The sequence below is a fragment of the Homo sapiens genome, chromosome 9 (genome assembly GCF_000001405.40).
Source record: "Homo sapiens chromosome 9, GRCh38.p14 Primary Assembly".
Taxonomy (NCBI): domain Eukaryota; kingdom Metazoa; phylum Chordata; class Mammalia; order Primates; family Hominidae; genus Homo; species Homo sapiens.
In genome coordinates this window covers 76,007,273-76,034,639 of record NC_000009.12, presented here as the reverse complement: position 1 = coordinate 76,034,639, position 27,367 = coordinate 76,007,273, and the positions used below count along the sequence as shown (strand labels likewise).

General features: G+C 38.7%; 1 protein-coding gene across 8 annotated transcripts in view, besides 1 other annotated feature; it reads right to left on the bottom strand.

Annotated features, from left to right (window-relative positions):
* Positions 1–27,367, bottom strand: part of PCSK5 (proprotein convertase subtilisin/kexin type 5) — a 473,167-nt gene that overhangs the window by 328,336 nt on the left and 117,464 nt on the right. For all 8 annotated transcript variants that reach the window (NR_120409.2, XM_047423454.1, NM_001372043.1 and 5 more), the window contains exons 4-5: positions 10,759–10,902; positions 7,603–7,679 (exon numbers count right to left, since the gene is read on the bottom strand). Coding sequence is in view for 7 of the 8 variants with exons in the window: in XM_047423454.1 (XP_047279410.1) it covers positions 7,603–7,679; positions 10,759–10,902 (221 nt within the window). In the remaining variant the exon portion in view is untranslated. The remainder of the gene's footprint in view (positions 1–7,602; positions 7,680–10,758; positions 10,903–27,367) is intronic.
* Positions 9,984–11,183: an enhancer, noted in NCBI's record as "BRD4-independent group 4 enhancer chr9:78638373-78639572 (GRCh37/hg19 assembly coordinates)". NCBI's record gives its function as "activates an origin of replication core promoter dependent on BRD2, P300/CBP, MED14 and CDK7 cofactors, and independent of BRD4, by STARR-seq in HCT116 cells {active_cell/tissue: HCT116}" and the evidence as "EXISTENCE:reporter gene assay evidence [ECO:0000049][PMID:35650434]".

The following is a 27,367-nucleotide window of genomic DNA, read 5'->3' as shown; positions in this document are numbered from 1 at the left end:
AGGCATCACTAGAAAGTGACATGCGTGGGAGGTGAAGGAGGAATTCTCCAAGTGTAGATGGTGGAAGGGTGAACAGTTGGAGCACATTAGAGGAATGACACAAATCCTGACGAATGGAGGAGGAGGAAGAAGAGGAGGGGATACATAGAGTAGAATAGACTCGATAATAAGGAAGGGAATGGGTCCTGAAGAGTCTTGTATTTTTAACATATGTCAAGATAGTAAAGGATTTTAATGTTCTTATTTTGGTTCAGAAATATCACTCAGGGAGCAGGATAGGGGAAGACCAGAAACAAGGAAACGATTTAATAAGACTCTTAACAAGGGTATAGGTAAGAGAAGGGGAATAAACATAGTGGCTACTGTGGGTGGCTGGGGGTTTGTGTCTAAGGCTTTTGAGAGCTACTACAGAGGAGGAATTAATTGGTATGAATTGTCAGGACTTGCTGACTAACAGTTGTTGAGATGAAGGGGAAGGGATGGCTGGCTTCTGGGGTGAAAGAAGGCTTTTCCTATTACACCGCAATTTTCCGTGGGAGGCCACTTCCCAGAACCTACACAATGATCAAAGATGTTACTTACTTCAGTGTAATGCATCGTGAACCTGTATGTATAGAAATGAATTTTCTAAAATATTTGCTGTAGGTTCTTTCATGAATATAAAATCTATGGCTGTTACTATGATCTGAATGTTTGTGTCCCTCCAAAATTCATGTGTCAAACTCTAATCCCTAACATGTTGGTGTTAAGAGGTGGGGCTTTGGGCGGTGGTGACTAGGTTGTGAAGGTGGAGCCCTAGTGAATGGGATTAGTGCCCTTTTAAAGAGGCCTGAGGGGCTTGTTTGTCCCTTCTACCATGTGAGGACACAGCAAGAAGGCACCATCTCATGAGGATTGAGCCCCCAGCAGACAACAAAATGGCTGGTGCCTCGATCCCAGGTTCCAGAACTGAGCATTACATTTCTATTACTTATAAATTACCCAGTCTAAGTTATTTTGTGATAGCAGCCTGAACTAAGACAGCTGTATATGGAAAGTGTCAGATTTTTTTTTTTTCCACAATTGCATGTTTGGTATACATTAAGCCTCTAGTAATGTACATGTACACTTGTAGTCCACGTTATGTAAATTCATTTGATAATCATTGATCAAGTATCTACTATGTAGTATACTGTAGATGTTATTTTGCAAAAGTATTAGAGAAAAAAATTTGAAAATATTTGAAAATCAAATCAGCCTCTGATATTGACCCTCATTTTCTTCGTTAAGTTTTGTCTGACCTACTAAGCTATAGGAAAACTTTATCTTAACATATTTGGCCAAATCCTTGGTACAAAGAAAAAATGTTTGTACGTGTTAAGGCCACAGACTTACAGTGTGTTTTTTTCCTCTAGTACTATTATAATAAGTTAACATATTTCCCCTATATGCGGAAAATGCTGACTATATCTTTTGGTTGCTTTGGAACACTATCTCCTCACAACAGTCCTTGTCTACAGAAATGGGAAAGGGAAGGACACATTTTGGTTTCTGCAACATGGCAACATTCGTAAAACCAGAAATGATGTGTGACAAGAAACTAAAGAACTAGACGAAATTCACTTCCATTCACCCTGGTTAAAGCTTCCTTGAATCAGAGATAAGAAACAACATGAAAAATCTATTCCTTTTAGAAAACAAGTCTTTAACCCAGAGGTTGGTTTATTTTGAAAAGGAATTAGACTCTGGGCCCACATACCGCTCGTTCAAAATATAATGCTGTGGTTTCAACTCCTGCTAAATGTTGCTGTGACTTTTAAGCAGAGAACTTCTAAAAGGAAGTAACCTAGGGAGGGGCTGATATAACTCAGACATCAATAATTCATTTTATTGGAAATAGGAGTAGTAGTATGAAATGCTAGCAGACTGTTTCATTTGCAGGGAGGCATTTTCTATTTTAAGCCTAGAACAATGCAGTCAGCTTTATTTGGCAAGCTAATATGAATGGAGGCAAAGCTGAATCGAAGGATGGGTTTTTATGATCTCCTCTAATCACGCTATTTCTTTAGCATCAGTTATTTAAGTCTGACATACCACCATTTGGGAACTTGCAAAAGTGACGAGAAAGGGATTTTTATAACTTTTGTACTTCAGAGGTGATTTCCTTCACTCCAAAGCCTTGGCACTAGAAATGTAATCATGCAAGTCTAAGAGATGATTTGCATAGTTTTGAGGCTAGATCCTCTGTTAGTACTAAAAACCCTTCAGGCATTAGAGTTTCTTACTAAATTTTCTCCCAATTCAGCCCATTAATAATCTATACTATTTCATCATTGATTCCCCAGGTATTTAGCACAGAGCCACTCGCCAAGCAGCGTCTTAATGAATACTGCTTGAATGAATAAACAAACGCAGGCAAGTATGACATAATTCCAAATATGTTCTGAAGCCTACTGGTCTGATTGTTCAGTGAGGAGGCATTTGCATAGCACATGCCTCAACTTCCTTATTCTGATGATAATTACAAATTCCTCACCTTCACTATTTTATATCAAATTCAAGGACTCATGCTCTACTAAGGGAGATGGGAAAATGGAATTAAAGAAAAGCAGATTTACTGTAGACGGAAAAGAGCCACAGCTCCCAGCCCCAAGGAAGCAGACAAACCTATCTCAACTTCTAACCCTGGAAATAAACCTTAAGTCCCCCAAGGACGCAGACAAACCTATCTCAACTTCTAACTCCGGAAATAAACCCCAAGTCTTAATTTAAATTTGAAGTGTTCATAGGCACACATATTTTGAGATAACTGTAATTTTTAACTAGTTATTTATCAAGAATTAGATATATGAATAGAACACACAATTATAATAATAACAACTGTAATTATGTAGCATCTATTATGTAGTAAGCTTGGTATTTTACACATTTTATTGATAATCTTTAGAGGTATTTTATTATTATTATTTTTTGAGACAGGGTCTCGCTCTTTCGCCCAGGCTGGAGTGCAGTGGCACAATCTTGGCTCACTGCAACCTTGACCTCCTAGGCTAAAGCAATCCTTCTATCTCAGCCTCCCAAGTTTCTGGGACCACAGGTGCATGCCACCACACCTGGCTATTTATTTATGTATTTAGTAGAAACAGGGTCTCCCTATGTTTCCCAGGCTGGTCTCAATCTCCTGGACTCAAGTGATCCTCCAGCCTTGGCCTCCCAAAGTACTGGGATACAGGTGTGAGTCACTGTGCCCAGCCTAGAGGGAAGTATTATTATGCCCATTCTAGAGACTTTTTAGAAAGTACTGAAAGCTCAGTTGTTAGCTCAAAAGACCATAAAGATAATCAAGGAGAGCCAAGGCTAAAAGTCAACTTCTCTAAACTACAAAGCTACTCATTTCCTAACTCTAGGTGGCCACTATCCAAACAGAGTTATCTATCTGTGGATTCATGCTTAAAGATAGATCCATTGATCATATCCATTATTATGGTCTAATGAGCAAAGAGGGCATTTTAATCCTAAATGCCTGACTACATGCTCTTGGTCAGCTGAGAAAAAAAATCAGGCAGAACTACTGAGAGGAGCTAAAGGTAAATCTATACCCTCGGCACTGCTGACTTCCATAAAACAGAGGCAGGGAGTGCTGGTGTTACACCTGTGAAAATTCCCTATTTCACCGTCAGGATGGCAAACCTAAGCACACACTGGGAACAATGTCTGTGTCCTCCAACAATCAATCCCCCACTGCACTCAATGAACCATGGCCAGTGCTTAGGATGGGTCAAAGCAGGACACCCTAGAATACCCCAGATGAGCACGACTGTCATGATTCTTCTTGAACAAGGGTCTTGGGAAGTGGCCAAGTTTAAAAGAAATCCTTAAGGAAAAAAAAAAGCAGTTTTAAAAGGATAGTCTATAAAAAGCCATCAAAGCCAATATTCAAAGAATTGCCTTTACATATAGTCTGTATTATAATACAGACTACAACACATATTTGGCTTATTTAATGTATTAAAATCATGCAGGAAACATTGTTGAATATAAAAAGGTTTTTAACTTTCTTTTGGTTATAGTCATATAAATTTGTTATTAGTATGTGTTATAAAATTGTATAAGATTCCTATAATTCTGATATGTCTCAATACATGTCATCAGTAATAATTATAATTGTTATGTTGGATTATTGTGTGTCACAGAGGTAACAAATTTCCTTGTCAATTGTGTCTTTGACTGTGGCTTCCCTAAAATATTTTTGTCATCCACAGATAATTGTTATCTTGATTTGGTCCTCTTTAGATGGTTTTATAATCAGCTATAAAACTTTAACAGGTGCTCTTGAATGCAAGTTTCTGATAACTTTGGAGATTATGACATTAGAATAAAGGGAAAAAAACCTTTCAGGACTCTCATGGAGAGCTAAAATGTTTATGAATATCCAGCAGAACAGGAGTTAACTAAATGGACTTAAATAACAGAAAACTGAAGTAAACTTTTTAGATTTTTTTTTTTTTGCTTAAAGTATTGCTGATCCTTTTTGTTTTTCAGAGAGAAAAACACTTCTTTTGAGCTATTTCCAGCTTTTAACAATTGAATAAAGTATACTCCTGTGAATAAAATTTAGAGCATATTTGTTTCTCTCTACCTAATTTCTCCAGAATTTAGAAACTTTTTTTGAGTATTCTTAACTTATGGCAATATAATTGTTTGCATAAGTGCAATAAGAATGTTTTCTTTTGAACAGGACACAGTTGAAGAAACTGGTTATTTTACCAAGGCTTTGACTGGAATGGCATGCTTTCCTTTAAGGAATCAAACTTGACTTGTAAAGTCAATAATAGCCCCTTAAGAAAACTTGCCTCAAACCTTGCCTACGTACCTCCTCTACAGGGTTCCTGACCTGTGCTAAGTGAAGACTGTCACTTTCTGACAGGCCTAGGAGCCCCAAGTTACCTTGGGAGCTCAAGAGGAGAGAAATTTACCCAACTCATAGGTATTAGAGGGTACAAACCCATGGCTGGGCTTGGCTTTAAAAAAGTCTTATCTGAGATTCCTTATGGAACGCAGTTCCATCAAAGCCAATTTAAAAAGCCTACGTAAAAAATAATTATTCTTGCTGCACCTTAAGCAAATAATCAGGTCAAGTATAATAAAACTAAAGTTTATTGGCAAACAAATCAGTCCTATCATGATTTGTTTTAATAAAAATAAGGACTGGAAAGAGAAAAATTATGTTCCAAAAACTACAGTACACCTGTTGTTAGTTGTTTTTGAGTTTTTATTTTTATTTTTCTTCCATTTAAACTAAATCCTAAATTTTTGGTGGACTGTATGTAAGTCCCCAAACTAATGCTTTCAAATCTTTACTTTTAAAACTGGGAATTGCACTCCTTATCCTAAAACTCATTATTTACCTTATAGTACACTGTCTGCTTAAACGCTATATTAAAACTATAGATGAGAATACTAACATCTTTGTCATGAAAGCCTCGGAACCCCAGCCTGGCCTGCGTTAAGTATGGTCAGACAGCTCAGACAGCAGCAAAGCGGTTCAGCTCCTCTCACCTTAGGGTCAACATCTACCCCACCTGCCCCCAACAGCAGGAAGAAGCCAGAGTGATCGACAGCCTTTTCCCATCTTCATAGGCCGCACTTTAAGAATAAGGTGTTATGAAACCCAAGGGGAGGGACTAGAATCACCTTTGCAAAAATTATAACTGAGAAAATTATGACACTGAAAGAGATCAGACCCAACCGACTCCTCCATCTTGCTTCTAACCTTTAAGCTGTCCTCGTTCATTCCTAGGTGTGGGCCAAACTAAATTTGGGAAGAAATTCAGCTCATGGTTTAACCCTGAAACAAAACTGATAATAGCCCTCTCCTGAAAAGACTCCCTTCTTGGCTGGGGACCAGTCTGCCGTTGCAGGACTAACAATTAGCTATGAGATTAGAAATTACAGTTTAGGGGTCATGCAGCCTCTGGCTCCGAGAGTGTGAACTCCCCAAATTGCTCCTGGGGATAACATCACTGCTGTAAAACCTAAGATCAGTGCTTGAGGTATTTGCAGAACCTGCACTCGACGGATCAGCTGACACCACCCAGACCGGTAATCTGGCTCAACCATTTCTGCCATCCCACCCAGGAACAGAAGATGGCAAGAAAACCTCACTTCAGCCCCCTATGATTCCATCTCCAGCCTGACCAATCAGCACTCCCCACTTCCTAAGTCGCTACCCACCAAATTATCTTTAAAAACTCTGATCTCCATATGTCTGGGGAGGCTGATTTGAGCAATAATAAAACTCTGGTCTCCAGCACAGGCAGATCTGTGTGAATTACTCTTTCTCCATTGCAGTTCCCCTGTCTTGGTAAAATGGCTCTGTCTAGGCAGCAGGCAAGGTGAACCCACTGGGCAGTTACAGTAAGTCTGAAAGAAAACTATCCAGTTTAATGTAGGTCTCTCTTTTCGCTTGGAAGTTCTGGAAAATTCTACCTATAGCAATTTGTGTATTAATGCTTTCACCACTGAATCTGATCGAGAAGATTTACTTGGTTGTTCATGTCAACCAACAGCATGTTTCTACAGTTATTTTGTTAAGCTTTCTTTGTAGACAGTAAAGAAAAACCACATAGGTACAGTGACAGTTTTCTAGGTCATATGGTTTTATCTAAACTTACTGACTTAATCAAATAAACCTAGTTGAGAAATTTTTCCCTAAAGAAAAAAGCAGATTAGAAATAACAAAATAAATGGGTTAAACAGTTCTCTTTGCAACTTCAGTGCATGTTATGTAAATAAAACATGTAAATAAAAATTCAAATGAAAGTATCTAAATTACAGCATTATCCTGAGGAGCTTCATAGTAAAAGGGAAAAAAATTACTGTGATTTAGAGATTAGAAATGTCTACTAATATTGTAAGGAATCTGGGTCATTATGTAAGCAAGAAAACCCATTCTCTCTTACTTGCCTGAGGAATGTTAAAATATTCTGTTATCAAATGGATGTGAATGTTGATTTGCATTCACTAAAAACCACAGTAGTAAACGGAAAGCATAATTGTGGTTAACCGGGTTTCTGTGCCTCTTGCCTGGGCGGGGGGCGGGGAATAAGAAAGGTAATGCCTTCTTCAGTTGGCAATAATCCTTCTAGGTATTTCAGGTATATTAGTGAAAAACACAATAACTACAGAGGAGAGAGGAGCGAAGGAGGAGTAAAGAAATGCTCAGGTAGGGACCTCAAATGCAGTATTCAATCATGTGTTGAATTTAACAGAACAAAATAATTCTTTTGGGAGGCACTTTGCTTGGCCTCTCCCTTCACCACCCCTGTCCCTAAACAAATGGCTCACAGGGCAATTACCACGTGAGGGGTCATCTCTTAGTTCCAGTCTCAAGATTTGGAAATGCTGAGCCATTCCCCAGGGCTCTCTCTGCAACCATTCTTTCTATATGGACCACCCCTTTTTTCTTACTCAGAGGCTTCAGTGGAAAGACACTTGTTAATCTTGGAGCAAATTAGCAATCATATGTTATCAAGGATTTTGAAGAAAATACTTCCCTCAGTATGAGCAGAAAACAAAGCTCCTTGCCAGCCACATGCCAGCCACCCCTCACTTGGGCCTTACTTGTTCTCGTTGCTTGCATCATAACGAGGCATTGGGTCCAAGTCATTCCCATTCACGTCGCAACTTGCCAGAGCATCCTATGGCCACAGAGGAGAGAGCAAGGGAAAGGAAATGGACATTCATTAATTAGCCAATGACCCACAGGCTCATGCATTTTTAAATACATTTCTGCCAGAAAGTAATTAGGTTAACTAATACGCTCACCTCACGGTTCAGTGGTGTCAGGATGCCTTAGGGAGGCAGTGCTCATTCAGTGATAATTAGTGCCATATTTTTCCCCCTTAAGGTGAAGAAGAACTCTACACAGACCAAACAAGTGCCTGGTTCATTCTTGCCAGCACTTTTTCCCCTCATACCTAGAATGACCCAATTCATGAAACGTATATCTTTCAAAGACATCCTCATTATTACCTTTTCTCTGAGGTACACCTTGACTACCTAGGCACAAAGTGATTTATTCTCCATAGACTCTCTCCCTACTCCTTACTTGATTTCTTCAGCTTGCAACTTCCTTATCATAATATATAGATTTCAGAAGACAAAAATCATTCACATATCATTGGCAAGCCAATTAAAAATCAATATTCGATCTTTATTATGTCAGGTATCTTGGGACCGCTATTAGACAACCCTCGTCTGGTTCCAGGTATTGTATCTACTATAAAGGAGTCCATAATTTAGACATTCTACTAATAACCATTGGCTTTTGGACCAACCAAAATAATGAACAGTTTTCCTACACTAAGATTTCAAAATGAGGAAACAGTATCTCCAGAACCAAAGTTGGATTTGCTTGTTTGCTTTTAAAACTGATTGTGAAAAATACCTGCATTACTGAAAAAAAATTACTAGTTACAATTGATCAAATTTATGTCACTGTAGCCAGCCTAATTTAATATGCTTTCAATTTTCTTTGATTGATTGATTAATTGAAACAGGGTCTTCCTCTGTCACCCAGGCTGGAGGGCAGTGGTGTGATCACGGCTTGGCTCACTATACCCTGTATCTCCTATGCTCAAGCAATCTTCCTGCCTCAGCTCCTGAGTAGGTGAGACTACAGGCAGGTGCCATCACACCCAGTTATTTTTTTTTTACTATTTTTAAAATTAATTATTTTGGTATTTTAAAAATTCAGTTAGAGCTATTTTTCATAATTTGGTTAGAACTCCTGAGGGGCATTCATTTTAGTATAGTAGAACATTTTTATAGCACTTCTGGTTATTTGAGTACTTAATGAATGCTTACTTCAAACATGGGCATAATTTCTGCCCTATGTCTTTTTCAGTTAAATTTCCTAAGAAAGATACAAGAGTATAAGGAGGGAAAAGAAGTCTCAGAGGGAATACAAGAGATTAAGACCACAAAGATATGGGGTCACTACAACAATTTGGCAGAAGTTTCTTTCTCTTTATGTTAGGTGGCTATAAGAAACATATGTAGATAAATAGTATAGGAATACAGATGCGGGGTAAAATGGTGACTCAACATCTTACTATCAAATGAAAAATGGGCTGCTTCCTCCTTCTAGCCTGGAATAATGTGGTGTTATTGAGAACCCTTCTCTGGAGTATAATTTGGCTTATTTTCAGTTCTGGTGGTCTGTTGAGTGGCTTGGTCTCTCTCTCTCTCTCTCTCTCCTCATTTTTTTTACTTTTATTAGAGATGAGGTCTTGCTGTTTTCCAGGCTGGTCTCAAACTACTGAGCTCAAGCAATCCTCCTGCCTCAACCTCCCAAAACACTAGAATTACAGGTGTGAGCCACTGCACCTAGCCTGAATGTTCTTATACTTTATTATTATTCCTAATTTCAATGTTCGTGAAAGTAAACACTATCTTGATTTTCTGTCTTTATCAAAGGCTCCTCTTTCTGAAAATAACTTTTAGTACATAGAGCCTGAAATGTTTCGGGAAATCAAGTAAAATATACATTGTATATACAGGTGGTTTAAGTTCCTGCTTCTTGTGCAAAAGAGGCTCTGCAGACCTGCTAAGTGTCCTTTGGAGCACGAAGGCTTCAGAGTGTATCTAATGTACCTTACTAATTTTACTGATAAGGAAAAAGAGGCCCGAAACAGAGGACCAACCAAAATGATAAAGTTTTCCTATGCCAAGATTTCAATATGAAGAAACAGTATCTCCAAAACCAAAGTTGGATTTGCTTGTTTGCCTTTAAAAGTGATTAAACAAATCCAGACTGGAGGGAACCCAAGTCTTTGACATGTTACCGAACGTGCTTTCTCTCTTACCCACCAGGTCCAACATAAAGAAGAACCGAGAGGGCACCAATCATGCTAATTGCACAGATAATTCTGGAGAATTTTTTTCTCAAGAGGAGAAAATGACAAACATAAAAGACGGCACTCACAATTACATGAATGCTATTTGTATTTAGTCAAATACATTTGTATGCAGTGGGGAACAGCAGCATGCTGTAAAACCCTCTTCGCGTGTGACAAGAAAGACATCTCTGCTGGGGCACAGGCAGCCATAGTTTCTATTCTTCTATCTGACCATGGATAACTCACTTCAGTCTTCAGGCTACAGTTTATTCTCCTATCAAAGGAGGAGACTAACCTGAAGTTCCTTTTTAGCTTGAAAATTCTATTCTGTAAAGAGACAGTTTATCTGAGTGCACTTAGATGCAGCAACTCAACTGTTTTGTTCAAATGAGAACTAAATGAATTTGTGGTTTCTTCTTAAGAAAGGAATTGATTCCTACAGACTACTGGGAGGCTGATCATTACTGTCCTTTAAAAAAAAGAAGAGGCAGAGAGAGAAAAAGACCAGCAGATAACTGGAGAAAAGTTCGAAGTACATTTTTCTCCATAAAAGAAACAAAGAGTACTGCCTGGCTGGTTGGATAAATTGTTGAGAACAGCGAATGTTGCTGGTAGCAGATGGTGTGGTGGCGGAGTTTCTGCTACCTTATTGCTTTCTTTTTGTAAGTCAGAACATCAAAGGCACTGGAAAGTTGAAAGGGTTATCTCATGCTTCCTGTATTCAAAGAATTCTCATCTTTTACCAGAGAGAAGCAAAACACAATACCCTATTGTACGTTGCTACATTTTTCAGTAGCTATCCACCTTTTTGATAATCCTAACATGAGTTTCTCTGTTTCCCAGAAGGAAAGACCTTCTAACCACAGCATACACTCACGTAGTTTTGCATCAGATCTGGATGGGTTCTCTCAATTCCGTCATCCAGGATAGTGACCACAATGTTCTTTCCCGTGTAGCCTCTCTTCCAGGCTCCTTCGATATTCATGTCAGACTGGCAGGGATGTGTATTGTCACTGCAGTGCTGAAAGAAGAAGAGCATGCTGCAAGATTACTAAATAGTGAGGAAATGGAAGAATTACCTATTTCTTTCTTTCTTTTGTTTTTTTTTTTCTCTGCTGCCCAGGCTGGAGTGTAGTAGTGTGATGAGCTTACTGTAACCTCAAACTCCTGGGCTTATGGGATCCTTCTCCCTCAGCCTCCTGAGTAGCTGAGACTACAAAGGCACACCACCATGCCCAGCTAACTTTTAAATTTTTTGCAGAAACAAGGTCTTGCTTTGTTGCCCAGGCTGGTCTTGAACTCCTGGACTCAAGTGATCCTCCCACCTCAGCCTCCCAAAGTGCTGGGATTACAAGTGTGAGCCATTGTGCCTGGCTCTACTTCTTAAGATAATGCATTAAATTAGCAGCAATTTGGCACATTGTCTACTAGTGTAAAAACATAGATCTCCAGCATGAACAAGGGAAGACAGGAAGGAAAGATGTGGGAAAAGCAAGTGAAACAGAAATCTCTCCGCCACCAGCTCTGTCCTGTTCTGATACCGTAAGTCTTTTGGAAAAGCATAAACTAAATAAAGTGTATCTCAACAGCAGAAAAATGGATGTATCATTTTATTGTTAACATGTTTTAATGACATACAAATAGGCATCATAGCATTTCATTTATAAATCCAAACCATGTCACTGAAGAACATAGACTTTATAATTTCTCAACCACGCGCCTAGAAGCCCATCCAGCTACAAATCGAACCACTCAGGCAGCTTCTCTGTACAGCAGCCAGATGTGTGCTCCTATGAAAAACCCATGGGCGAGAAAAAAATAACAGGTTCTCCACACTTCTTTCACTAAATTAACAATGGCTATTGTACCATAATTTGTAGCCAGTAGACAAATTCATCAAGCACTATTTTTTTGAGAAGGAAAAGAAGAACAGTGCCAAGTCCAGAAAGGTGTCCTACACAGGACAATGTGTGTGAAGGCTTCGAGGGGAAGGCTGTAAAACATGGAACCTGAGCTCATTATATATAGTAATTTCATTCTGCAATGGCTACAACATACAAACATATTGAAAAACAAATTAAGGCAGCAGCTTTTCCTGACATAATTTACTAGCATTCATCTAACCCACACAATTGTTCCTTTAAAGTCCGACTCTTTGAAATATCCCTCTGTGTGATGTGTGATGTTGTTTTCCAGGTTCTTAAGACTCGGGAGAGGAACAAAAGAGGAGAGCTGTGCTGCTACATAATTCCATAGTAACACGAGCCACCCCAGGTCTTTCCCTATTCACTACTTTCTTCCTGCTTTGTAACAAATAGTTCAGCATATCGGGAATGGAAGAGAATAGAAGCTTAATATGCCCTAAATACAATGGAGACTTCACTGCCATGGATTCACTTAACACACACGTCATTGAGTACCTACTATAATTAAGAAATTATAAAGTATATGTTCCTCAGTTACCTGGCTTGAATTTATATGCTAGGGTATGGCTGTGCGCAAGGCAGATGAGGTCCCTGTCCTAAAGGCGAGACACAGAAGATAAACCACCAAATAAACAAGACCATTCAGAGAGCTCCCTGTGTTTTAAAGGCTCTTTGTGTTTTAAACACTGTGATATGATGGTGAATGCTGAGGGATCTGAGTACACCACTTTAGATGAGATGGTCAGAAAAAAGACTCCAGTCTCTGCAAACGTGAAATGTGAGAAGGAGTTGGTCTGCCCAAGAGCCTAGGGACAAGTGTCCTGGTAGAGGACACAGCAAATGCAAAGATGGTAAGGCAGGAAAGAGTTCAGCGTATCAAAGAAAGAGAAAGAGGATGGGTAGGATGGGTATTGTTGGAGCTTAGAGAACAGGGAGAGAATGGCACAGAAGGCAGAAAGTTAGAAGCGGAGGCATGGTCAAATCATTCAGGGTGTTGTAGGCCACAACTCGGCTTTTATTCCAACTACATCCTAAGCAGAAGCTCCTTTCCAAACCTCATCCCTTACAGGTGCCTCCAATGCCTCCGAAATAAATTTGTTAATTAATTTATTCCCCAAATGAGACTGCCTTTTGTTGAGTGTTATAAATACATTTGAGTAGTTTCAAAGATTCATTCTAAGAAAGGGTGCACCCATGTTTTTATGACAGACAACATTGATTTCCTAGAGAACAGGGGCTTCTACATTTTTATGAACATTTGTATCTTTCCCCCATCTTCCTGACTTCTTTCTGGCACCTGAGGCCCTGAACACACACTCTCTACTATTCTACTCTACTAACCCGAATTCTCTCTCCCTCGTGCCTTCAGTTTTTGGGGCCCAGCTATGGACCTACCTCTTAACACATAGCCTTTTTCAGCCTACTTGTCTTTGTCTCTTCTCTGAACTTAGAAATACACCCCCCAACCCACACCCACACACACACTTTCTCTCTCTCTCTGTGTCTCTCCCTCTCTCTCTGTTCTATGCAATCCAACAACGACCCAGTGAATTGTGCCAAACTGTTGTTGACTGTTGAATCTTGGGTGTGAATTTTGTCTCCCTGACTGTAAGCCCTTAGAAGACCAAGCAATAAACTAAGTCTGCCCTAGGATTTCAAAAATATTGGCTAATTATATCCCAAAAATGGGGGCATATTCTCAACTTTATTTCCACTATGTGTACTGCTCTGACTTCTTCCAAGATACACTGCCAGCAAACACTTGGTTAACAAAGATTGATTAAAAAAATAGTGTAGATTTCTGAAATGCCTCCGTTTTTCAGAAGCCTCATTCTGGCCAAGAGTTTTTGGGCCTCTCCTCACCACATATTTTAATTTAACACAAAGCAACCTTGACAGGTTTTTATTCCATTCTCCTTTCAAAACCTGCCGTGGCCACCTGCGGTATCGATTGTGACATGAAGTCATGTTAATGTGGCCAAGAGGTGGGCCGGAGGAAGGAAATGCACAGGAAATGGGTAACCCACAAATGGGATAACCGGCCTGGAGTGGAGGGATGCTGCCTGAAATTGTAATTACGAAAATTGAAGAAAACCAGCCGTCTACGGAAAACATGCGTGTTAAAAGTGAAGCAACTAGGTTCCTTTCTTCCACCTCTGCTTCTGTTGAATCTGACTTTACCATTAAATATTCTTGTACCACCTTTTTGCTTGTTTTCTTTATATACATCACTATGGTAGGAGGTGAAAAAGAAGAAATATCCAACTGATGCTTTCATACGGATAATCTAATATAGCAAGCCACCAAAATACAGATGACAAAAAGGAATGTTAAAGCCTAGGGTGTCTTTTGCAAATGTGAGTAATAAGGTGAGAGGGCATTTAAATCAGAACCCTGAATCCTGAATGTGGATCTTCGACTTTTAATGCATTTCAAGTGGCCCAGGCTTCCAAATATGTTTCTAATGTAGTTGTTTCCTATACCTCAAGAATCCAGAGACCAAAGGCTATGGGAAATACTGATGTCACCCAACACTGACCAGAGATGAAAATGAGTTCATTTCCTTAACCGCCTAGTTGAAATGGTCTTTAAACTAGGCCCTATTTATTTGACAGGAATCTATGTTACAGCAGCACCCAGAGGCAAACGGAACACATATTAGCCATGATTCCCTCATACATCATCAACCATGGTGAGAAGGTCTCTGCCAGAGGTGGAACTAAAGAAGAGTGTCTAGAATTGTGTTACCACACATGCAGCCCACAGCCTGGTGTTCACCAAAGGGGCCAGTCAGAAATTTCCAGCATATTTGAAGCTATTGAAAACCACATACGTGCACAGTATATGCAAGATAAATATTTATAGTAAATGTAGGTATTTTCAGTTCTGAATAATGCACTGTACTTCAGTGATGGTCTATTAGGTATTTAGAAATGACACTGGACACATAAAATGGAAAATATCCTTAAGAAACAGCCAATATCACAAGGTCTCCACTTTCTTATCCATATCAGCTTGTACTTTTTTAGGAATGAAATTTTAAAGACATTGTCCTGTGAGTTCAAGAAATGGCCTTTTCCATACCAGGGTTATGAGCTATTCTGCTTATAAACCACTCTGGGTGCATCCACTTCTCTTGGGTCTTCATAAACATCTCACAGCTCAATGAAAGACAGTTTATACCCCAAATAAATACCTTTATTATGTTCTCATCATCATTATTTTAAGACTGAGGTGGGAGGTGCTGGCAGGGTTTATGGGTGGGAGGGCTTATGGTATTATATTTTTTAAATTTCTCTAAGTTCTGAGGGTCTCCAATGAACTGCCAATTTAAATGCTGTCAATAATCTGCTAACAATGAAAACATCTGTTGTTCATTATTATTGATAGAGTGGCTTATAAGACTTCATCTCCGACTATACAACATTAACAAGAAAATAAAATTAAATATCCAAAAACCTGTTTTACAGAGAAATGAAGACATACATCTAATCAACTAGGTAAAGGGTACATATACTCAAAATTCTTTGTAAAATTTGGAGTTCAGGAGTTGTTGGAAGTTAAAAAAAAAAAGAATTGATATTCCTTAAGTGAAAATATAACTACCGTTTACTAGGTCCTTACATGGCCAAGCATTTTACTAATCACTTTATCTGGATTACCATCATTTAAAATTTACAACAACCATTTGCAAGAGGTACTTTGGTCATTTGCTTTTAACAGATAAAGAAAATGAGACTTAATCAGCCTAGGTAACCTTCCAGAATTCAAACAGCTGGCCAATGTGAAATTAGGATTCAAACCAAGCAGTCTGACACCACAGCATAGGACTATGTAACTCTTGTGTTAAAACTAAAACAGAAAGGGCTTAGAGCAGGGCCAAAAACAAGCAAATTCAGATGAGGGTAGATAAGGAGTAGATAAGGCGCGGATGTTGGAGAAAGGTTCCAGTAAAGAAACTCAAATAACAGAAATCACTCTGGCCTTAGCACTTTGATGAGTACATTCAAGTGATAAAGTGGAATACAGTTGTTTAAGACCTTAGAGACCTACTTTTTCCTTATTCCATTTATTGCATCACATCTTTCTGGAAACACCAAGTTTATATTTGAAAATTTTCAGCAACAGGAAGTTCACTTCCTTATTAAATAGGCAATAAAGTGCTGGTAAATCAGTTCTTTAGAATAGCGGTCCCCAACCTTTTTGACACCAGGATCTGGTTTTGTGGAAGACAATTTTTCCACGGATGTGGGGTGGTTTCAGGATGAACCCACCTCAGATCACTGGGCATTGCCTTAGATTCTCATAAGAAGCACGCAACCTAGATCCCTCGCATGCGCAGTTCACAATAGGGTTGGTGCTCCTCTGAGAATCTAAAGGTGCTGCTGATTCGACAGGAGGCGGAGTTCAGGCGGTAATGCTCACCTGCCACTCAAGTCCTGCTGTGCAGCCCGGTTCCTAACAGGCCGCGATCAATACTGGTCCGCAGCCCGGGGCTTGGGGACCCCTGCTTTAAAAAACAGCCCTTATGTGTTAGTGTTTCCCAATTTCCACAGTGTAAATACTCACATCATGGCTAGTTTTAAACTACCACAACTGCAAAATTTCTAAATGTGTAACAATCAATGTTCATGACTTACAGAAGGTGGATCCAGGGTACCACTGGAAATAGCCCACTATGGTTAGTCCTGCTCCATTTCTGATTAAGTCATGCCTTCCAATGGATCTGAAATCTGCTTCTCAGTACTTGGGAACTACCGAAGGCTCCGTTCTCCCCTTTGCAGTTTCAGACAATAGTTTCACTCCCTCACACATTTTTTTTTTTTGGAGGAGACCTTCTTTAACCTTTTCCTCTCAAGATTACCTTTTAAAAATGAACATTCGACACGTGTGAGGAAGGCCGTAAGTTGATGGGTTCTTTTTGAGGTATACGAAGTAGAGATTCTGTGCCTCTAAAACTGCAGGTGCCTTTACAGATTCTTGGAAATACAAATCAAGGTAGTTAAGTCCTAAGATGTTTATTACAATACTTAATGAGTCAATTTGATGGACTTCAAATCCTTAGTTATCACACACACACACATACACACACACAATTGCCCCCAGACAAAACAGATGCTCTGTCCAATTATTCAGAGGATGATTATTCAGTCTGTGGATTATCCAGAAATCCCATGGAAGCCCAATACATTTCAACACCAAATTCAGCAGAGCAGATAAGGAGGTGAGCTAAAGGGAATTGGGCAGAGGAGAATTTGAATTCTACCTCTGCTACTTTCCAGCTGTATGACTTGAGTGTCAAGTCACCAAATTCTTAAAACCTCATCTGTAGTTTGAACACAGATAATTGCTATAAAGATGAAAGAAGATAAAGTACATAACAATTGGTTGCTGTTATGATCATGCTACTGTTGATGGCAGCACCTATATAGGGGCAAAGCCTTCTTATAATTTAGGGAAGAAAATTTTAGTTTTTTTAAAAAAGGAGATTGATTATCATAAAATAAGGAGAGGATGATTTTCTTCATTGTCTGGAGAGATAGATTGGCAAAGTTGAAAGGGCAATTGATCATTTGTAAGGTTAGCTGGATGACCTGAATTATTTTTTACATTTGAGGTCGTGGGCTGGAACTGGGAAATGGAGCCTGGGGAGGGGGTGCACAAGGAGGAAACAGCATGCAACGTCCTTTTGGCACACTGGCCAAACGTTTTTGGTATCCTATGAATCATCCTTTTTACTCCACACATTTATACCACTATTCCAACTCTGCTAGAACCATGGTCCCCATCTACTATGATACAGTCTTGACATAAGATCATTTCTCAGTTAGAAATGTTAAGAGTGCCAGACATAATGCCAAGGGAACATCAGAAAATAGTGGAGGTTGGGAGAAGAAGGCTGTGATCTACAAGATATGCTTATAGAGAGGAAAGCAGAATAAATCCTGTTCCAAAATTCTACTCATAATTGAGGGTTAAGAAATCAAAGCATAGAAGTCAAAGTATAACTGGATGGTCTTTAGGTTTAGTTAAGTGGATGGTGTTTCTCATTTGTACATTTTGTGACCCTCTTTGAATCTTTCCAAACCTGACCCATCGTGCATTAGAAACTTTCAGTCTTAAAACCATTTAACAAAATAAAAACCAATAAACCAAGAAACACATCTTGTGTCACCTTTAAGGAATCTTTACAAGTCTCATATTAGTGTATGGAGAACTGGTTTCCACTATATTACCTAGCCTTGGTGCTAAACCATGTTTTATGCTTCTAAAACTTAGCGGGCATTTCTGAGGCACCAAGAACAAGCTTATCTTTTATATGTATAACTCTCTGGAGCTGCCAGGGTTCACACCAATCTCAAGTACCTCAGTTCAAAGAACTGATTCAGGCTTCAGAAATCTAGGTCTGAAACCATTGCCTCCATCTCTATTGTCACTTCTCCTTCTCACTTACTACATTCCAATCACCATACTGGCCATGACACTGTCCCTATTGTTAGGTCCTTGAACTCTAGTCCATGCAACAGACAAGCAATTGCAAAAAATTGTTCATGAGTTACAGAAAGTGGATCCAGTGTACCACTGGAAACAGCCCACTATGGTTGGTCCATACCTTTACCAAGATGTAACATATCCTCTCCATCCCCCACTTGCCCTCTGGCACTACATGTTAGGTATCATTAACACAGTTTGTCAGGATACTGTGGGAACATGGAACCCAGTCAGGGGGAAGTGTAGGAAGGCTAAGAGAACTTTCTTGAGAAAATAACATTTAAACTGAGCCCCTAATACAAGCTGACTAGCCAAAGGGCGAGTCAGGGATGAAGAAGATATGTTCCATCTTGGTAAAAGTGTCAAATAATCATAGAGACTGGAGTGTTAAAGGAACTTAAGACAGTATAGCTGGAGAATACAAGTTACAAAAGGTGAGGTGGGAGATGAGAAAAATGGGAAGAGTTGAGGCTGGAGAGGTGAGGAAGGTGTGGTTTGCTAAAACCACAAAAAGCTCACTAATGTTTAAGGTTATCAATCTAAGGGAAGTTGGCCAAACCAGATGGGCAGGAGAAAATCCGTGCATCAAGTTGAAGCCACTTCTCTGAGAGTTGGCTGTATAACTGGGGAAGAAAGGCAATAAGAACACCTAAAGTTGTCCAGTATATGATTCTAAAGCAAATTAAGATCCCTGGGCATTCCACTGAACATTCTTTTCAATGAAAACCCAGTGTTTTTCTGCTCACCCATCCACCACTCTTCATATTGGTCATCTTTGGTTATATATGTGTTTTATCTGCCTAATGAAATTACAAGCCACTTGTGCTGTATGATTATTATATCTTTATAATCTTTAAAGTTCATAATAAAAATAATCATTCATAAATCAATATTTCTTGAGACGGTGTGATGGTTAATTTTCTGTGTTACTTGACTGGGTTAAGGAATGCCCAGAGAGCTGGTAAATAGTATTTCTGGATATGTCTGTGCACGTGCTTCCAGAAGGGATTAGCGTTTGGATAGATGGAGCTAGTAAAAGAAAACTGTCCACACAATGTGGGTGGGCATCATCTGATCTGTTGAGGGGCGGAATACAACAAAAAGTCAGAGGAAGAGTGAATTTGCTTTCTCTGGTAGAGCTGAGACATCCATCTTCTCCTGCCCTTGGGCACTGTTGCTCCTGTTTCTCCTGTCTTCAGATTCAGACTGGGACTTACACCCTTGGCTCTCCTGGTTCTCCAGCCTTCTGGGCTTGGACTAGAACTACTGGCTTTCCTAGGCTTCCATCTTGCAGATATCAGATCACAGGACTTCTCAGCCCCCATTATCACATGAACCAATCCTTCATGATAAATCTCTGTCTCTCCCTCTCCCTCTCTTTCTCTCTCTTTCTCCAGATATATATATAATACAGATAATACAATACAGGTAATATATATAATACAGGTAATGAAGGTATAAATAAGATCTAGAAATCTTCATCTTCTGCACATTGACTCATGATGGGGCATTGCCAATGTAAAGGTCTAAGAAAGAGCATAGGGAATGTGCAGGGAATGAAGCCTTCACAGGGAATTCTATGAGAAGAGAAGACATTCATATGGGGTTGTTGATTATTCTAATATGCCACTAACCAAAGTTCAATCCTCCTGGCAGAAGAAGTCAGAAGGGCGGTAACATAGCGACAGGTGGGCTTATAGGTCCGGTGGGAAATTTCTGCTGTCAGGAGGAGCTCAGGGATGCAGAAGTTTGTTTGGAATAACACAAGGCATGACAGAAGCAAATACTGTTCAACTCTCCTCTGGTTTTGGTATATAGCTGAACTTGAATATTGTTTCCCTTTTGAGGTCATGCAGCAATTCTACCTAAGTTGAGAAGAAATTCAGTTTTGCCAAATGACTTTCTTCCTGGCTATGAATCAAAAATCAAATATTTCTTAACACATTACCCTCTCACACAAACTGTGCAATTAGTACATTAGTTAATCGTGTTTGCTTATGGATGATCTCAACTAAAATGTTTTCCTTAAGTGCTTATATGCCAAGAAACAATTCCTATGCCGGAGCTCATAAAAATAAATTTTAGAAGCAACTGAGCTGCAGTATTTAATAATTATGGGAACATGAGCAGTAAGCACCTCTCATTCTTTTCTAAAATGTAATTTTTTTGTTTCTATTATTTGCAAAATTCTGCTTGCATAGAACTCTTCACCCTCTCGGTCCCCTCTGAGCATAAATCTGCTGAGAAACCTCTGCCTCCTCTCTATTCACTGAGGTCTCAGGAGGAGTACTTTTTCCTTTTTAAAAAATGAGTAGAATGTGGTGTGGCTTGGATAAGCACAACCAACGGACTTCAGTTCCCACTTCCTTTTTTCTTCAAAGTCAAAAAAAAAAAAAGTTGAGAAAAAATTATGGGAAATAATTTTTTTTCTAATGTTGGAGACATACAGGGTCAAGGAGAGGGAATTTAAACATCATTTGAAATTACTGAAAAACAACTTTTAATATGTCATCTTTCTTCATTTATATTGCTTCAAAAATGACAATAATCTCATGAAATACAATGGCAGCTATTTTTTAGGTGAGAAACCAATCCGTTTTTCAGTTGAACAAATCAAGCAGCACAAGGTTATATTGATACAATATCTTCCCAAACCTTCATTCATTCTGCAATCAGCTTTTGACAACATAATCATTATCTTTTCAATGAATGGGTGAATGGACGAATTAACAGACGGAAAGAAAGACAAATAAATAGAAAAGCAATACATAATTTACTCTCCAAGTCCTATCACATTTCAAGTTCTCACAAATTTTTACTGAAGGCTACATCTCTTTCCAGGACTCTGCAGAACTTCTGAACAGTAAAAGCCGCTTCAGCTTCCTTAAGTCAACCCCTGAAACTCCCATAGATAAGATGCTTTCAAGGGATATTTTCAAAGCCAAGTCACACAGGTGGCATGTATATGAAAAGAAGAGGACACAGAGGGATGGAAGAGGAAGAGAGGATCAAATAAATGCACAAAACAATGAAGCTGTGCACATTCAAGTGATGGACACATGATCATTAAATAGTCTTGGCCCCTCCAAGAACAAGAATCACTTGATATTTCCTAGCAAAATACAAGTTTAACCTGTTTAAACTCAACAGAGAGCAGCAGACTTTTGGTATCAAACATTAACAGTGGTCCCCTAATTACTGTCTCAAATTAAGGCACTAAGATGGATACCTCAAAGGACAAAAAAGACTTATTAGTGTATTGACATTATATCTAAAAATAAAGGGGATGCAGAATTTCAAATGGGTCTTTCCAGATTTTTTTGGCTTTGCTTCTCTCTAGATCTACGAGATTACTGGCTCAACTTTTTGAATATTCTAACAGTTCTAAAGGATTTTTGCCATGCCCTGTAATAAGTTATTACCCAAAATACATTTATTTCTATAAGAAATCTGAAGCAATTGTGGTATGGAAGCTCAGAAAACAGGGAGTAATATAAAATCAAGCAACCATATCAGAAGAGGTAGGGTTTCTTAAGACCCACATGGACCATAAGTAGTTGGAGACAAAATCTGAATTCAACTTTGCTTTCTTGCCAACACACTAGCCCACTGTGACCCTCACAAATCTTTTCTTTTTCCTAGTAACATGACTTCTTCAGGTATAACTCATCGTTATGCTTTTATATAATCAAAGAGTATGTCTAATACACATAATGACCTCAAATAAAGGTGCGCTGCTTAGAAAAGGAGAATAACTTAGTATCAATAGTTGAAGTTTATATTGCCAAATTTTTGTTTTTCCCATATTGCACAAGCCAACTATCCCAAAACATAATAGCCAGAAACAATAATTTATTATTACCACTTACAGTCCTACGGTTGAGTAGGATCAGCTGTGTGGTTTTCACTTGGGGCCTCCCATACTTTGCAGTCAGATGTCCACTGGGGATAAAGCCATTTGAAGGCTTGACTGACATGGAAGTTAATATGGCTTTTTCATTCATGTGAACACTAAGAGAATTTTCAATCTGATGTGTACGATTTAGTTATTAATGTGTGTTTGTCATAGTTGAGTTATCTGAAAGTCCTTCTGAAGGACATATATCTATTGCATAATGGTTTACCCCGTAATAGCTAGAAGCAATGGCAGTTACATTACAGTTATACTACATCTGTAAACTGTCGAAACATGTATTCATTTGCTTGTGTGTGTGTTTATTTTTTAAAATTTCCAACCGTGCTTATTCAATGCCTTTTAGATACTAAGTCTACATCTGGGAATGAGAAAACACATGATCTAGTCTTCATAAAGGTGATATTCAAATTTGGGCAGATGGATACTAAACAAGTAGGCAAATAAGACAAACTATAATTAGAGATCATGGTAATAGTTATGAAGGAAATAAAAAAAAGACCTTGCATGACATTAAGGGAAATGTGTTATTAAATTTATACCCTGAGTTCTTTACAGTTTTTCTGTTACTGAGCTGACATTTATTCAATAAACACTGAAACTTCATTTTGGAAAGAGGCTTTTATAGGCATCAGGCAATAAACTCTGGCCATGGAAGGGCAAATCAGAGCAAAATTGAGGTTCCCAACCTATTGTCATTTAAAATTTAAAAACAAAACAAAACACATTTCCACATTTCAAATAAAAATTTGGAAACAAAAAAATTACTTATGACAAAAACAATCCACACTGTAGTATGTGTGATGTTTAAAGAGCATGATAATTTGCTATTGCTATGATATAGCCACAGAAAAATAAATCTACTTACAAGGTAAAGGAAAAACCATCTCACTTCTGACAATCAGCAAAATCAATTCTGATAGCTACTAAAAAGACCACTTTAATATCATTCCTTTTAGGCTGAATAAAAATAATTGTCCAAATCTACCTGACATCTTTGCTTTTATTGTCCACTTGAAGATGCAAACTAGTATAAAATCTACAAAGTTGCTTGCAAGGAAGATGAAACATTTTGCTTGGACAGGCCAATAATATGTCCAGGGCTTCTTGCACAGTGGCAAGTAGCAGAGGCTTCAGAAAAGATGAAGGATCCCATAATGCATTTGATTGGCCACTCAATAAAGGAACCTACAGAGAAGATTGCCTCTTCGACCTGGTGAGATTCTCTCCAGACCCTGGAGTATAATGAGCAAGAAAACAAACTTATTTTTATCCTCCACTAGCAAGCGTAACTGCAAATGTTTTTCTTATTAATAAAAAATGTCGAATCCTTTCAAGAATCTAACCAAGCAACTTGCTTTAATAGCATCCAACAGAATTTCTTGTTAGAGAAAAATAATAATTCCAGAAAAGTCACTATCCAAACACAGTGACACATCTTCATGTATAGAGCAAGGACACTGAACTTTATAGTAACTCCTAAACTCTTAGAGTGGCATATTCAAGGTAAACTGGAATACTGTTCCTGTAACCTAAACCACATTTTTTCCATTCATTAATGAAAGGAATAACGTTAACACAATTAAATTCAACACTAGGGTAGCAGCTTTCCACAGCCACATTCAGCAGCCCACATACATATTTTAGAACATAGTTTTCCAAGCATGTTGTCTTTTCTATCTAATTAGTAAGCTCTTCATGGGTAACTAACATAAACACCTTACAGACAATCAAAGTCCAAAACATCCTCATGTCTGACAGTGGTATGTTTTCACTGATTATTTAGAACAGAGCTTTCCAAAGTGGAAAAAGTGGAGAAAGATGTTGAAAGATGTTAAATTGGAGTTACAGAGATCCAAAAAGCTGCTCAGTCAACACAGCAGAAAAATGCAGCCCTTTCCACTTTATTCTCCAACACCTTATTTTTCATTAAAAGGGAAGAAAGGGCATAGTGAACAGTAAAGTGATAGATCACAGTCCTCCAAAGATTCTAACTAAGACAAACAAAAAACAGAACTTCCTTTAAAAGGATGTGTTTAACCTATAAATTCCTGAAGTTACTTTCTAGTGAGAAGTTTGTACCATTAATAGTTTGGAATGTTTTTAGCTGCAAGGAAAAAAAGCCCCAATTAACCATCATCAGAAAAAGCATTTAATTATCATCCAGTTAATCTGAAAGTTGGTGGTTCCAAGTTAATTACATCATTACGGAACCAGACTATTTTCTCAGCCACCAGACTTAGCTGTTGGCCCTTTGTCCTCTGAAAGTGCCTCCTGATTTCAAGATAACTGCCACAGCTCCTTGTATGATATCCCTCATCAGTATCCCAAGTAGAAAGAAAGACATCACAAAAGGCTTTCTCTCCTAAGAGAAAGAAATCCCTCAGTATCAACTTCATCGGTAGTTGTTATTTGGCTAAAACTGGGTCACTGGTATACCTCTTTCTTCAGGCCTGGTGCAGCGCACATGCATCCCGTGACTGGCTTGGACCATTCATGATTTATTCCCTAGGACGAGGAGACAGTTTGCCTTCTCTGAGGTTAGGTAATCTCCACCAGAGCTACATAAACATAAACCTAGGGATATAAAGCAGGTAATAATGAAGTATGATTGTAGGGTAGAAAAAAGTCTGAATACGGTTATTCCTTAGCTTTTGTGATTGCTCCATGTATCTATCAATCTAGCTTTCACTGCACTTATCTAGCTATATATGATCTCTCATATATAAATATATATATACACTCCACCTTGTGACAGTTTAAGGTAATAGGATTTTTCTTTTTTGTTTTTTTTTTTTTCCTTGAGACGGAGTCTCGCTCTGTCGCCAGGCTGGAGTGCAGTGGTGTGATCTCGGCTCACTGCAACCTCCGCCTCCCGGGTTCAAGTGATTCTCCTGCCTCAGCCTCCCGAGTAGCTGGGACTACAGGCACCCGCCACCATGCCTGGCTAATTTTTGTATTTTTAGTAGAGCCAGGGTTTCACCATGTTGGCCAGGCTGGTCTCGATCTCCTGACCTCGTGATCCACCCACCTCGGCCTCCCAAAGTGGGTAGTAGGATTTTTAAAGGTTACTTGAAAAATCAAACATGAAGAGAAAACCATTAAGTAGAACATCAATTCATTTAACTTGAAAAAAAAAGTTTTAGTCCAACTGAAATTGAGATTGAATAGAATTGAACCTTTTTTTTGTTATCCTCACATTTCATTAGGAAATAATATGTTATGATCACTACGTTTGTTATAAAATTAAATTTGCATCTTTAATTCAACAAATATTTTGCGCATGCTTTTTGCTCAGCACCATCCCAGGTATCATTCTAGGTACCACACGGACTATGAAAAATAGTAACAAACATTTCTTTCCCTAAAGTAGAGCTGCTAGATAAAATACAAGAGCTCCAGTTAAATTTGAATTTCAGATAAACAAGAAACACTTTTTTAGTATAAGTAGATCCCATATATTGGATGTGACATACTTATACTAAAAAGTTATTCATTGCTTATCTGAAATTCAAATTAACATCTATTTTCACTTTCTAAATCTGCCAACCCTTGGTGCCACCAGTCTAAGGGTGGGTAACTTTACAGCATAATACTAATTTGTCCTATGACATCTCCAACTTTAATTAACTGCATCTTTCTTTCTTAAGGAAGAATTAAGATGCCTATGGTAAGAATGCAAAGCTCATGCCTGTAATCCCAGCACTTTGGGAGGCTGAGGCAGGTGGATCACGAGGTCAGGAGATCGAGACCATCCTGGCCAACACAGTGAAACCCTGTCTCTACTAAAAATACAAAAATTAGCTGGGTGTGGCGGCTCACGCTTGTAATCTCAGCTACTCAAGAGGCTGAGGCAGAAGAATCACTTGAACCTGGGAGGCAGAGGTTGTGGTGAGCCAAGATTGCGCCACTGCACTCCAGCCTGGGTGACAGAGCGAGACTCCATCTCAAAAAAAAAAAGGCAAAAAGAAGGAAATATGCAGTGTTCTATTTGCTTCCTACCCAGAATAGGATCTAAAGAATCTAATCCTGGTTTCAATAGGATAATGAAAGCCATCTAAATCTTAATCTCCCCATGCATCCTATAAAACAACATAAAGATAAAACAAAGAGAAACTATGAAATTTTTAAACACAGATTTATATCATAAGTAGGAAAAAAGGAACACAACAAACCTCAAATTACACATAAGCAGGAGAAAAATACTCAAATCCAGCAGAACCCGCTCTTGAGATCACAAGAGCAGAAAGTCAGATAGAGACAGCAGAAAAGTAAAAGGAAGCAGAAGCCCAGTAATGGTGAGACACAAATAGAATAATCTTACACAGAGAAAGCCCCTCCTCAGTAGGGAAATAAGGTGAACAGATCTGAGACCTGCACGGAGCTCAGAGTGCAAAGGAGCAGAGATGGAAATTATAGAAAGGCACCAGTTCTGGGAGTGAAGGAGCAAATTAGAAGGGGAACCCGTTGAAGACTTGATGGAGAAAGAGATATGAAAGTGAAGAAAATCACTTTATCTCAGGAGTTTGAGACTAGCCTGGGCAACATGGCTAAACCATGTTGTATTTTTTTGTGGCTACAAAAAATACACACACACACACACACACACACACACACACACACACACACACAAAATTAGCCGGGCATGGTGACAGGCGCCTGTGGTCCCAGCTACTCAGGAAGCTGAGGTGGGAGAATCACTTGAACCCAGGAGGTCAAAGCTGCAGTGAGCCATAATCACGCCACTGCACTCCAGCCTGGGCAACAGAGTGAGACCCTGTCTCAAAAAACGAAAGTGATGAAAAGCAGAAGTCATATTAAAGCAACGGAGAATCACTAAATCAGAAGGCCATCTACCCTCCTCTCACACCCTCCAAATGCATTGATAAAATCAAATAATTCTTACTGTATCAAAATATTATTGTTCTTTTGAACTAGGAGACTTAATAAGTCATTCAAATTCCCACCTCTTTCTACACACAATTGCTACTAATGATCTAAGAAAATAAAACATCTCAAAATGAATGGAGACTAGTAGACAAATATCTACCCAATGTTCTGTAACAACAAAGTATAAAAAGAGAATCAAAATATTGCAGTTGATTAAAATTCTACTAAAAAATTTGCAACAGCACACAAATGAAACACATCTGAAC